Source organism: Homo sapiens, chromosome 6 (genome assembly GCF_000001405.40).
Source record: "Homo sapiens chromosome 6, GRCh38.p14 Primary Assembly".
Lineage (NCBI taxonomy): Eukaryota > Metazoa > Chordata > Mammalia > Primates > Hominidae > Homo > Homo sapiens.
The window spans coordinates 17,280,944-17,295,058 of record NC_000006.12 but is presented as its reverse complement, the minus strand read 5'-3'; the positions used below and the strand labels follow the sequence as shown (position 1 = coordinate 17,295,058).

General features: G+C 42.5%; 1 protein-coding gene across 6 annotated transcripts; it reads right to left on the bottom strand.

The window, feature by feature from the left end:
* Positions 1-1,187: 1,187 nt before the first annotated feature.
* On the bottom strand, positions 1,188-13,698 carry RBM24 (RNA binding motif protein 24). Of its 6 annotated transcripts, XM_011514388.3 has the most exons (5): positions 12,131-12,254; positions 10,348-10,402; positions 4,991-5,487; positions 4,166-4,210; positions 1,188-3,303 (listed from the first exon to the last, which is right to left on the bottom strand). In XM_011514388.3, exons 3-5 carry the CDS (start codon positions 5,031-5,033, stop codon positions 2,927-2,929), a joined length of 465 nt encoding a protein of 154 aa, XP_011512690.1. In that variant the 5' UTR covers positions 5,034-5,487; positions 10,348-10,402; positions 12,131-12,254; the 3' UTR covers positions 1,188-2,926. The 6 variants fall into 6 exon arrangements, with proteins under 6 accessions (XP_011512690.1, NP_001137414.1, XP_011512689.2 ...); NM_001143942.2 differs by lacking the exons at positions 4,166-4,210; positions 4,991-5,487 and adding an exon at positions 13,310-13,698; XM_011514387.3 differs by lacking the exons at positions 4,166-4,210; positions 4,991-5,487 and adding an exon at positions 13,310-13,698 and having other exon boundaries at positions 1,188-3,275.
* Between the last annotated feature and the right edge of the window lie 417 nt (positions 13,699-14,115).

Genomic DNA, 14,115 nt, shown 5'->3' with positions numbered 1-14,115 from the left:
ACACACCCATATATATATATATATATATATATATATAGTTTTTTTTGAGACAGAGTCTTGCTCTGTCGCCCAGGCTGGAGTGCAGTGGCATGATCTCTGCTCACTGCAACCTCCACCTCCTGGGTTCAAGCAATTCTCCTACCCGATTCTCCTGCCCCAGCCTCCTGAGTAGCTGGGACTACAGGCACGTGCTACCATGCCTGGCTAATTTTTTGTATTTTTAGTGGAGAAGGGGTTTCACTGTTAGCCAGGATGGTCTCAGTCTCCCATGATCCGCCTGCCTTGGCCTCCCAAAGTGCTGGGATTACAGGTGTGAGCCACCGCGCCTGGCCACTACTACAGATTTACTTACTATGTATCTGGCTCTGTGGCAAGTAGTTGGTGTGCTTTTTAAATTTAATTATTTAAATAACCATGCGAGACAAGTATTATTGTCACAATATTATAGATGAGGAATGCATTAAAAAAGTGAATTACAGACCAGGTGCGGTGGCTCACACCTGTAATCCCAGCACTTTGGGAGGCTGAGGCGGGCAGATCATGAGGTCAGGAGATCTAGACCATCCTGGCTAACACGATGAAACCCCGTCTCTACTAAAAATACAAAAAATTAGCCAGGCGAGGTGGCGGGTGCCTGCAGTCCCAGCTACGCGGGAGGCTAAGGCAGGAGAATGGCGTGAACCTGGGAGGCGGAGCTTGCAGTGAGCCGAGGTCGTGCCACTGCACTCCAGACTGGGTGACAGAGCAAGACTCTGTCTCAAAAAAAAAAAAAAAAAAAAAGGTGAATTACGAAGAGCAATTGGCTTCACTAACATTGCTGAAAAGTGGGGAGTCCAGCTCAAACCTGAGTTTAGCTGACCCGAGCACCACTGGGCTGGTCCCACTTCTGACTAGTCCTCTCTACTACTGGCCCACGCCTTCCAAGCCATCTTTCAGCTAACCAGTTTTCAGTGATACGAAGTCCTTTAGGGCTCCCCTGGTGGGACAGGGGATGACCTATATCATTTGCTAAGTATAAGGTAGATATTCAGTTAGTGAAACTTACTTTAAAGGCACAAAACCAGGACATCCAAGAGAGTATTATGCTCACTGAAAATGTTACGTATCAATCATGGCTATTGATTCAAGTTCAAAAGAGAAATCATTGACCTTTACTACAGAATTAGAAACAGCCAATGCAACAGAAGTTTTTAAAAATTATATTTAATACAAGTGAATAGATTAGAAGATCTGAAATGTTATAAAGCAATATACACAACGAATAAATAATTTGCACAGGAGAGTCATGTCTACATTACATAACACTGTCTAGTATGGGAATACTTAAAGTAAATCCAGTGATAATGGAGAAAGTCCATAAAAATGCTAACCTGTCTTCCCTTGTATGAAATTGTTCAAGTATAAAAATCCAATACAGTGTAAAATAGTATTCAATTTAGTTTAAGAATAAAAATTGCAAGTATTGCAGTTTCAGAAGAAAAATGTAAAGCAGCATTTAAAAACTACATAATAGTGTTAAACTAATGAATTACCAATAAATGAAATCTACACAGGCAAAATCAGAGGAGGAAGCATGAAACTAGCAATATATCGTTTAAAAAAAAATCTAAAAACTAAACTAAAATGTGTTAATGTAAGAGTACTCTCTTATACAGTGCACATATGAATTTAAATAAATCCAAGTCAACATCTTTAGTTGAATAGGTTAATATTTAATACGCTACATCTAGACTTACTAAATAATTTATGCCATGAGATGAATACATAATTTTACAGTGTCACATCTAAAGTTCCTTTCTTTAGAGTGCAGCATAGTAAAACTTAAAAATAAATATCTTAAATAGCATTACTATTAAGGCACAGTATAAACCACATTATCATTAACCTTTGAAGAATTGTAATCTCAGTAACCTTGTTGTCTCATGTACTGTAGTCACTAATAAATAGTTTTAAATATGACTCTGAAATAGATACTAAAGTGTAAAATTACTTAAAAAGGGAAAAAAAATAAATGTCCTTAAGACAGTTCTGCAAACTTTGCCTGCCTTTATTCATAAGCCACGAGTCGACACAATAAATAGAAAGAGAAGGCTGTTGTAGTAAAAGCCTGATCCTATTTCAGAATCAGAATTGCTGACACCAGCAGATACAAGTTTCCCAAAATTGAAACAGGATGGGGAGAGGGATTAGAATGTGACAAGCTCATCAAACAAGCACAAGTGATGTGTTCTTTCCAGAACTGTGTGTGTTATTGATTGTCTGTACAGCTGTTGCACCCATTAATTCCACATCACTTGTTCCACAGTTCCACTCATCCACAGGACAGATGAGAAAATAGCTTTGGTGCCTGTCCACCATTTTACCCACTGCCACGCTCCTAGATTGATTGTTCGATGCCCATTTTTGAGATAGTAAGAACAGGACCTTCCGACTTGAAAAAAGTTCTATAGGCCTTAAGTGACTGCTAAAAATGACAATCAGTGCTTTCGCCATTTTGTTTGTAAAAAATCTGCTTTTAAATGTAATTCAAGCTACATATTGCTCGCTCTGTATTCCCTGGTTCAACTAGATTCAAACAGCATTTTCTAACTTGTAAAAGGCAGTTTGCTTCCCTGATACTATAAAAAGAGCAAAAATAAAAATCCCGTTACAAAAGTGAAGTTCCGTTGTTACTCCTGGCGTCATTTCGTAGTGGCCTTTCATTTACTCAGGCTCTTTGGGATTGATTTCCAAAATTGTGCCCATTCCCCTCATTCTTACCTCTTTCTCATCTAGAACACTACCTGGAGTATAAAAAAAATAATAACTCTGCTTCACAATAGCATGGCTGTTTTTTTTTTTAAAGCTGTTAAGTCAATGTTAACTCTCTTATTAGCTACTAAAAATTGGAAAATTGGGAGGGAAAGAGAAAACAATTCAACTTTGATCAGATGGCTGGTCTATTGCATTCGGTCTGTCTGCAGCTGCTGAGGCTGGTACTGGCCAAATGCTGCAGCGGCAGCAGCTGCTGCAGCGGCGGCGGCAGCTGTCCCAGGTGCCGCTGCGGTGATTGGCTGCTGGACTGCGTAGCCATAGCCCCCAGCAGTAACATATCCTGCAGCAGCTGGAGAGGCTGCATAGGGGTACTGGTCATAGGCAGCAGCGGCGGCGGCAGCAGCAGCAGCTGCTGAGTATTGTGCGTATGCAGCTCCAGTGTAATCAATGTAAGGGGTGGTGGAGGCGGCAGCTGCTGTCGGCTGGACGTGTGGAATGACCACTCCCGGCTGCACAAAAGCCTGCGGATAGACATAGTGGGCAGGTATCCTGTTGAGAAATGGAAAACAAAGTCAGGCGGTAGTCACCTCCTAACTGTAGCATGTTGTTCAAAGATAAAACAAACTCAAATTTAGTGGTTATTATGAGCATAGGGTTGCCACAATATCTACTTTCTAGTGGTCCATTGAGAATACTCAGGCAGTAGCCAAAGTCATAGAGTGCCCCCAGAAGAACTGGACCCCAAAAATATGATGACACCCTCCCTGCTAGAATTGTCATGTATGATTATTTGGAGCTGCTAAGTACAGTTTATCAAGAGTTTGGAAAATAAATCAAGATTCATGAGGGCTACACACGTAAGAGAGGTTTAACAAGTGCTCAATTGATGAAGACTTTGGAAAATTTTGTAATGAGTTCATAAAATAAGAATGTTTAATTAAGTAAATAGAAAAATTCTTAGCCAAGAATATAGGACTCAAAAGGTAGTCCATAATTATTCACTTCTGTGGGGTGATCACCAGTTTGTCGAAATTAACATAAACGTTAACAAAATCCGTATGTTTATTATCATGGCAACCCTACTTGAAATTGCTATGCAGACTCAGCACACATTAATCTCTCTGCAACCTCAGTCACCCTTATTAAAAATAATAATTAAAAAAGGAAGCAGGCGACAAAATAAGAAAAAGGAGTTTAAAAGTTCACAAGTGTGGTAAACACAGCAGAATCACACTTCTCAAACGAACTGTAGTGCAGCTCACTCTGTCACAAGAGGCTGTCGTGGGAAGCTACAAAAATGCTATTAACATTCATGGCAGTGATTCCCAAAGAGATGTGCAGCACACTTATTTTCTTTCTTTCTCTTTTTTTTCCCCCATAAAATTCATAAGGACACAACGGTCAACCAAACCTGTTTGACTATCAGGCACCTGAGGGTCAGCCAGCTTGTTTATCTCTATGCAAGACAGACAGAAGGGGTTTTGGGGAAATGATGAGGTTGAGGGAAAAGGCAGGACAGGGAAGTACAACTAAATATTTCTAAAATTAATAGAAATTTAAAAGGTTTACATAACAAGGAAACTTTTTTTGCACATCTACTAACTCTTGTTTCATCCTCCAAATTAGCAGAAATACGTTAGTGTTATGTTCGAAATCTGCCCTATTCGTTGATATTTTGTACAAATCATATCAATTGTATAATCATGTGTTATCCTGCAAAAGTTCAAGAAAGTCAAACAAAACCAAGTATCTTTTAAAATTATACATTCACAGATAATACAAGACAGACTCCAATGACGTTACTTAAAAGTTAATGTGGTTAAAAAAATAAATCACAAGAGGTATTTAAACAAAAATTCCATGCATCTCCATTCTCACTCTTGCAATTTATTACTGCCCATCTGAAACACTACCATAAATATCTGATTTATCTTCTTCTTTAAAATAATCTCCATTAAAGCCCCCTATATTTATATCTAAAAACATGACACTATAATACTACGTGGTTGCTGGCAAAGCCAACTTGTAAGAAGTACAAGGACAAGTAACAACCTTTCAATTTCAAAGAACTCAAAACAGAAAACAGCACTTGTAGATTTTTCAGAAACATAGATTTTGCTTTGCCTTTTCAGAGTTTTACTGAAAGCACTCATTAACGAACATCCATGGAAAAGATGAATTTATCTCAGAGGGTAGTGGACTTTGGCCCCAATGATAAAAATACACTCAATTTTACCAGACTTGTAGATGTTTCCCAGTGCCAGGAGAAACGACGTCATCAAGTGTTTCTGAGGACACTCAGAGATGTTCTTAACTGCTTGTCAGAAACCAGGCGCGTGGTCATGCACACACTCAGAACTTTGCTGCAGGTCAGGTGACTGGCTCACTCGCAACAACAGGTGTGGCTTTATGAAACACTGTCCCTGGAGGCTGCCGTGTCTACAACGTGTAGACACGGCTAAGAGAGCCTACTCTTATGCCAGTTTACATGTGGTGATGGACAGCAGGGGCTGCAGCCGGGCTATTTTTGATCCTGTCATGCGACAAGGGTTTCCAGCGGGTAAAATGTCTTTATAAGGCCAAAGTAAAACATCTATCAGCTGCAAAGGCCAGCCAGTGCGGATCTCACTGACACCGAAACCTTAACCCCTTGTACTCTCAAAGTTCCAAGAACAACACTGTGGGTGCTAGGTTGGTATCTCTGAATTAAGGTGTTAAGTGAAAATGTTTATCCTACAAAAAGGAGAAAGTGTTGTGAAGAATGCATTAAAAGACAGGCAAGGTTGCTTAGGGGGCTTTAGCTCTGCATTTACTTTGCATTAGGAAATAGTTTTGATTTCACAATGTCAAACAATGAGAATATAAAGAAAGTTCACTGGATTATCAGACTCCTACATGAAGTTTGGCAAAGGTTAAAGAGACGTCTGGAAGGCAAATGAAAACCTAGAACATTTTAAGGCTTAGAGGGAAAAGGAGAACCCGAAAGACCTTGGAGAGCCTAAAATATCCTGGGTCAGGAAGGAAGGCAGAATTGGACTGAAGGTTCAAGTGGCACTTTGGAATGAAATCCTGAATTAGGAGTTCTTTTTAATAGTCTGAGACCCATTAAGGTGATCTGGGAATCTCCCTCCTATTAGACATTTACCAATGTCGTTTCCTTAACCATAAAACGTGCATGCCTAGCAGTTACAAAAAGCACAAGTGCAAAGAAGACACTTTTGGTAATTTTCAAAGAAAATTTACTACATTTTCCTTTTCTTCCCATCTCTTCAGGTTCCACTGACATCTCTATGTGACTTTTAAAGCAACATCCTAACTGGTTTTGAAGCAATATCCTAATCGGTTTCTTTTTCCAATCTATCTCACAGCAACTGATGACAAATACTCCATCTCATTCATTTGCTCAAAGTAATCCTTGGCCCCTAAAAAACCAAACTCAGTGCAAATTTCTTAAGCCTTGGCATTCTAGGCCAAAACATCCAGACTGCCCCTGGCTCCAAAACACCTTTCTAGTATTTCCTTCCACCTTTCCTCAAACCCAGGTCAACTGGGCTCCTTTATGTTTCCTGGACAAGCTTCACATTCCCAGATTCTTGCCCTTTATTCATGTCATTCATCCCTCACCCAGATGCTAATCCTCACACTGTCTCTACCTGCTGAAATCCAAATCCCACTCACCCTAGCTCTAGCACTCACTACGTGTAGAGGTTTCAGAAATTTGCTTTATCGTTTAGTCTCATATGTTTCTTTTTTTATGCTTTGTTGTCTTAACATAGCCTCCTATTTTGCATATGTGAAATGGACTAATAATCTCACAACCCTGGATTGCTGTGCATTAAATAAAATTATCTGTGGAGAGAGTCTACAATGCCAAATATAGTAGGCACTCAATAAAAGAGTTCCCTACCCTCCACCATTCTTTAAAACCTAGGTCAACTTCTACTTCCTTCACGAAGACTTCTGAATCCCACTCATTGTCCTGATGTTCGTCTCTCTTATCTGAAGCCACATGGACAGCCCTTCTTGGTGCTTATCGGCTTTCTTACTGGATTATGAGAGAATAGAGTTTTGTCTTTTGGGGCTACAGCTTGACAAAGAGGAAAGACTGCAGCTTCTGAGGTCAGGCAGACCATGATTCTGAATCTAGACTCAGCCTCTAACACTTAGCAGTCCTGTGATCAGGGGGAAGTTAATTAACCTCTCTGTGTCTTAGTTTTGGAAAAGATATTAACAATGCCTTCAACAAACACTTACTGTGAGAATTAAATTATGTAATTTATGTAAATCCCTTATCATTACAATCCATATGGCAGATGTTTGGTTAGTGTTAGTTACAGTCCCTCCTGCCCTCCTTAGTGGACACTATAAAAACTAAGCACAGTGTTACCACACCCAGCATAAAACTGAGCACTTAAAGGGGTACTGAGTCAATGTTTAAGTGTATGTTCAACCTCATCTAAACTAGCCCAGAAATTTGTTTTTTGGTTTTTTTTTTTGAGATGGAGTCTCGCTCTGTCGCCCAGGCTGGAGTGCAGTGGCACAATCTCGGCTCGCTGCAAGCTCCGCCTTCTGGGTTCACGCCATTCTCCTGCCTCAGCCTCCCGAGTAGCTGGACTACAGGCGCCCACCACCACGCCCAGCTAATTTTTTGTATTTTTATTAGAGATGGGGTTTCACTGTGTTAGCCAGGATGGTCTCGCCCTCTCAACCTCCTGACCTCATGATCCACCCACCTCGGCCTCCCAAAGTGCTGGGATTACAGGCATGAGCCACCGCACCTGGCCACTAGCCCAGAAATTTCTACTCACAGATCTGTAGCCTCCCCTTTCCAAGGTTTCAATAAGGAAATGCTTCTTTCAACCATAAACTATAAAATATTGTTTAGCAAGTTTATAAGTTTTTCTACATCTGCCCACTGTGCTACATCAGAAATTCCTTTTAGGCCAAGGTTTTGTCTACAGAGGCCCAAAGTCACCTGGGGGCCATTTAAGGACCACATTCAAAGGAACAGTTCAGTTACTAGAATTTCAAGTAAGTCAAGTCAAATTTGAAATTCTCAAGTTTCTTTCCAGGCCTAAAATAGGAACATGTAGCATTCAAACAGAATTTAGGATGACCAGGTGTGATTTGTTAGGTACAGACTCTGAAATTAGAGCAGTGTTGAGAACCTCTTAAAAAAGAAAGAGAAAGCTCACTTGGTCCACCTGGAATGCTATCTATTTCTAATAAGAATCTCAAGTTCAAACAATTTATGCACACACTAATAATCACCATCCTTTATAAAGACAGTTAATATTAGAAGAGGTGAAAAACAAAAGGTTGCTATCAAAACACACTTGCTTTCAAATTTCCATGACACATCTTACACTGGTGGTTGTAATTTTCCTTGTGTTACCTTCTTTCTTAAGAACTGATCTATAAGGACTTCCACAATCAGTCCAAATTCCTATGCCCAGCTCTCAAGACCCACCTTAGACAGTCTGGTTTCTCCACGCACTGAGTCTTCTCCTCTATGCCTCTGCTTCGGCTCACTCCATCCTATACCCTCCAGACATATCCAGTCTTCCTTTTACCTGCCTAAGACATACCCAGTGGTGCAAGTCTAGTGCCAGTCTACCTGCCATGCACACCACAGCCTTATTCAACTCCTCCACTTCATCTATTTTCTTGCTACTCTGAATTCCTTTTGTACTTGAAACAATACCAAGTCACTTAGAAATTAATAATTCTTGACTGGTTTTTGCATGACTTTTGCTTCCCAAACTAATGTGCAATTCCCTCATTTTGCATCACCCACTGGCACAGTGAAAAAATAAACACATGCAACTACCTGTTGATTGATTCAATTTTATAACTGTTTCAAGATTATTAGTGTGAGCCCACCACTAAGCTCACATCACACCTTCAGATATATGCTCTCCTCCCTAATCCCACCTTAAACAGTTAAGTCTAAATGAATTACCCACAGAAATAGCTGAACCCATCAACCCACCACTTGTTTTCAGTATTTGGGTTGGCTTGGATGGGGATTTGCTAAGTAGCTATGGATATAGGAAGGCCCTTTCTGATCATATTGAACAGAAGACTCTTCCACAGCTAAAAAAAAAAAAAAAAAAATAGTAGTAGTTGGCAATAACAGTGAGGTACCGATATGTTAGAGTTGTAAGGAGGTGGTCATGGGAAATATAACTTTACTCTTCCAAGTCAAGTTATTATTAATTTCTTTTTAAAATCTATTCTTAGAGACACATATGGTAGACATCTATCTATGTAGACAGATTCCAGCCTTCCAGGTTACACAGGTAGATGTTTTAGGTCCTAAGCTAGAGGAGAAATTATTATTGAGGATAAAACACTCTTTCAACAACATGAACATTTAAAAAGAAAATTTAAGTATCCTGCGTTAGAGTTACAGGCATGTTGATCAGGTAGAACAGAGCCAAAACAGAATCTAGTGTCCAGGATAAATTGAGGCGAGGGGTGATCTCCCACCCATATAACCTCTGAAAGGAAGAGAAATGAGGACCTTGGAACAGGAAAACTGGTAATCACAGGACCCAAAGACAACATAAATATGAACAGGTGTTCACCTGAGTTAGATCTGAAAGGTGAAAGTTAGTGTGACGCTACTCAAAAAAACTGGCTTGTGTTAATAAAATCTGATGAGAGTTGTTGAACCTTTAAATTAGATGGCCTAAAAGTGGATACACATTGCAAAAGAAAGAACCCCATTCCCAGAAAATTTCCCATAAAACAGAAACTTAGGACATGCAAGCAATGAATCTGTATTCTGACAAAGAGAAATCACACAATTTAGCACTCACTACAAAAATGTGGTTAAATGGAAGTCACAGGCTACAGCTTAAAAGCAAGAAAAAAAAAAAGGCCCTTTGCTTCCCATGGCAAAGTCAAAAGTCAACACCCCTCAACACCACCACCAAAATCAAAACGCAAAGAGCCCCTTCCCCGAGGAAAAGAAAACACTTTCACTACAGCTCTTTTCAATTAAGTAAAAAGCACACAGTTTAGCTATCAACACCACTTCATTACTGTAATAAATAAAATAAAGCACACGAAGGGCTATTGACTATTGTGAAAAATAAAAACAACAACACCAACATCCATGCATCGTTAATCACCATCTGAGCTTGTGTGTCTGAGTCTACTGGTTACAGAGTTTAATTCCAAACAGAACTATTCCACCTCTTATCATGGTATCCTTCTGATCAGTTAGCTTAACTGTATACGAGCCCTGTCAGGTTAGAAAGAGATAAATAAAATTGAGTCAAGTCGAACAGTAGTAATGGTGATGGGACACAATCGTCTTGTACACAAGTCATACCTGGTATTTTTGTTTTGTTTTGCTAATCATAAGCTCAAAATTTGTCTCGTTTGGAGGCTGCATACTTGGTCAGATAACTTGACTCATCTAAAAATATTTATAGTATCAGCATTAAAAATGCACAAATATATATAAAATTGTATAACTAGGACCATTCTGTGACATCATGATCTTATCTGTATATAACAAAGAGGCACGTTAACAAATGATAGTCATACTGAAACTTAAGAAAGCCTGATTAATCAACTTACCCGAAAGGTCTTTGTATAAGGGCTGGATGAAGTTGTTGAACACCAAAGGCAAAACCTAACAACAAAATATACCACATTCTTTATTTGTGCATGGTTAGGCATTTATTATTCCTACATGTAAAATGCAATCACAACTTTCACTTATAAAAGATAAACATTCTTTCGCCACTTTAAAGAAACTATATGTATGTATATTTTTTAAAGTCAGTTTTATAAATGCTATCATTGATTCAAAATAAAGGTTTTAACAGAGAAAAGGTGAAAACTTTAAAAAAATCTGCAAATTTTAGTTGACAGACACAGAATCAGACCTTGGGAAAATGTTCATGAAATAAAATTAAGTACAGCAGGATTTGACAGTGAAGTTACATCTCAAATATTCTCACAGTTTTGAACCAGAATCTATGAAAAGTCTTTGTAATTTGGAACGTTCTGGGATGCTTCAGACAATGCTTTGGAAGATTATGGGTTTTACACTTTCCAGTATTAAAAATTCACAAAAAAAAATGTTTTTTTTCTGGATACTACATACCCACAATGTATTAGACAAATTTTTTTAACGCCCATGAATATTTGCACAAACACTCATTTTCTTGACAACCTAGTTTCCTTTTAAACCCGTTTGGATGGAAGTGTCAACCTCTTCCCAAAATTTCAGATGGAAAGGCTTAGGAGTGAAGAGTATATGATTTAATCAAACTTTACAAGTAAAGTTGCCTGACCAAAGAAAATATTATATTTGCTTAAAAATCAACTCTCAACTATTTGTGCTAATGCAAAGGGCAGTGTTGTAAATAATCCAAGAGGTATTGTTTTCCCATAGACAAAAAACTGCTCCCTTTTGGCAACTAATAGCTACATGACTTAAGTAAAATATTTCTCATCTCTAAGCATCAGTTTCTTTGTCTGTAGCATAGGGTTCTTGAGTAGGTGCAATTTCTGTTTTCTTTGATTGCTAATACTCTGTGATTTTATGTTGAAGGTTTACCATTTTGGGCCAGGCGCGGTGGCTCACGCCTGTAATCCCAGCACTTTAGGAGGCCAAGGCGGGTGGATCACCTGAGGTCAGGAGTTCAAGACCAGCCTGACCAACACAGTGAAACCCCGTCTCTACTAAAAATACAAAATTAGCTGGGTGTGGTGACACATTCCTGTAATCCCAGCTACTTGGGAGGCTGAGGCAGGACAATCACTTGAACCCAGGAGGCGGAGGTTGCAGTGAGCCTAGATCGCGTCATTGCACTCCAGCCTGGGCAACAAGAACGAAACTCCATCTCAAAAAAAAACAAAACCTTTACCATTTGGACATCGCCCCTACCCCTTAATGCTTCCCTTGGGTCTGTGTTCAAGTCAGACTGCCTGCTCTGAGCACAGTGCAACTGGTGCTAAAAGGAGAGACACCACTAAGTAGGGAAGTATATTAGCTGAAGTCGACAAATTTGGCCTATATAATCCACATGTGAATTATCTACAGGTGGCTAAAAATTGGAAAATTGAGAGCAGACTACAAATGTATGCCATATAGGAAACAGGTGAGACATGACTAACTCTTCTTCCTGCACGACCCCCAAGATCCATTTTTGCACACAGGTACATTTCAAGCCTTGAGAGGAGTATTTACAACTCTCATTTATGTTTAATGCCTTGGTAGAATAACAAGCCATGGTTCAAGTTTACTAAACACATCTACAGAAAGAGACAATGTCTTCTAAATTAGAGAATCATCCCACCCATAAATGGGGGGTTCTTGGAGAGGGGGGTAGGGGAGACAGACATTTCTCACCTGGTTGCATGATCCTTGGTTTTGCTCCTAAGTATGCCAGGTTCACGTTGGCCTTTCTGCCATCAATGATGGGATTGGGATCCTTGCAGGCCCTTTCGGCAGCAGCCCGGTCAGCCATGGTGACCTTAGCAACAGACACACACAGACATACATACATAACCTCTAAATTAACCCATGAAGGAAATCAAGAATCACAATGGAGAAGTCATTCATGATAAAACTGAGATCAAACTTTTTTTCTATTCTTTGCTTCTTTTGGCTGGACCCTCCTCCTTGATCTCCCATTTTTAACAGGCGGGCGGGGGCGTGGGGGGGGGGGGCGGGTAGACGAAGGAAAAAAGAAAGAAACCCTCTAACCCTGCCTCCCCCCACCCCACCGCCGAAATCTTAAGGGTGTTAGTAGGGCCTAGCCGAGATTTGGAAGCCTAAATTCTTGGAACTCTAGATCCTCCTTCCCCCGAATCCCCCGCCCCCCAGGTCCCTACTCAGCCTCAGAGGCACCGTTTGCTTTAAAGAAAGTCCAGCCTTACATCCGCCCAACGCTCCCAACCTCGAAAACACTCCCCAACGACAATAGCTATTGTCCTACTCTGGGGCTCCCTGCTCTTCGGCAGCTGAATTTGCACGCTTAAATCTCTAGGAAGGAAGCTTAATATGCTCTGTTTCAGTTCGGCAAAGAGCCCTAGGATCATGATTTAAAAGAACCTACCTTTGCAGTTAAAAGGCGGGGGGATGACACAAGGGCAACAGCCCCAGACCTCGTGGGGTGTCCCCTCCCTGCCCCAGCCAAAACACCAGAACACACGCATTTTTACAAAGCAACAGCGCGCTTAACAACCGGCATCCAGCCCGGGAATGCAATTGTTCAGGGTTGCGGCCCCTCCCTCGCAACCCTCCGCACCCCAAATCCCGCCGTCATTACAGGTCTCTCCTTTCACCCCTGCTCTGCCCTGCCCGGCCCCCGACCTCGCACAGCGCTGGGTCTTCTCCGAACCCCGCGAGGCTGGCGCCGACCCTCTCCCCTAGCAAAGTTTCAGTTCACCCCGGAGCGAAGGGGCAGCGCCGCTCTACCCGCGGGGCTCCTCACGGGTCACGCCGAGCCCCTCACTCCAAGCTCCCGATCCCCGGGGTCAGCCGCCACTCCGTCCCTCCCCGTCACCCCCAGTCCGTGCAACTTACAAATCCATAGCCCCGGGACTTGCCCGTCTGCCGGTCGGTGATGACCACCGCCTCCTCGATCTCGCCGAAGACCTCGAAGTACTTGCGCAGGCTGGCGTCGGTGGTGTGGTAGGGCAGCCCCCCGACGAAGATCTTGGTGTACGTCGTGTCCTTCTGGGTCGTGTGCATCTTCGCACCCGCCCCGCGGCTCGGGCTCCGGCTGCGGCTGCGGCTCGGGCAGCGGCTGCGCCTCCTCCTCCGGCTCCGCGTCTCCCGCACCCTTTCGCGGCCGCCGGGGGCCAAGGGCGAGCCCGGGGGCGAGGGCGGCGGCGCGGCGGGGGCGAGCGGCCGGGGGCGGCCGAGAGCGCCGGGCGCGCGGCTTCCGAAGTCGCCAGCGGCCCTGGAGACTTGACTTCGCTCTCTCCTCCCGCCCCCCCTGCCGGTCACCGTACAAATTCTCCGGATCGTCTGGATTAGAATCGGGTTCTATAGAATGTGCAAGCGGTTTCCACTCACCCGGCGGGGAGGCCAAAAATGAAAAGAGAGGGTAGTTCTCAAGCGAAGAAGCGGGTGCTTTAGAGGTAGATTTTTCTTCCTTAGGAATCAGGTGCCTTGGGTGGGGTGTGGGGAGGGTCCGCGGGAAGAGCGTCCGAGCGCCGAAGCGGGCGGGGGGCGCGGCGGCGGGGCCAGGGGCGAGGAACTCCGCGCAGCTTCGGCTCTGGTCTGTCCCTCCCGCCGTGGGATCTGGAAGACGAGTGCCGAGGACAGCTCTCCACCTCTCTGCTCCCTTCCCCCGCGGGCCGGGGGTCGACGCCCGGCTGGGGAGG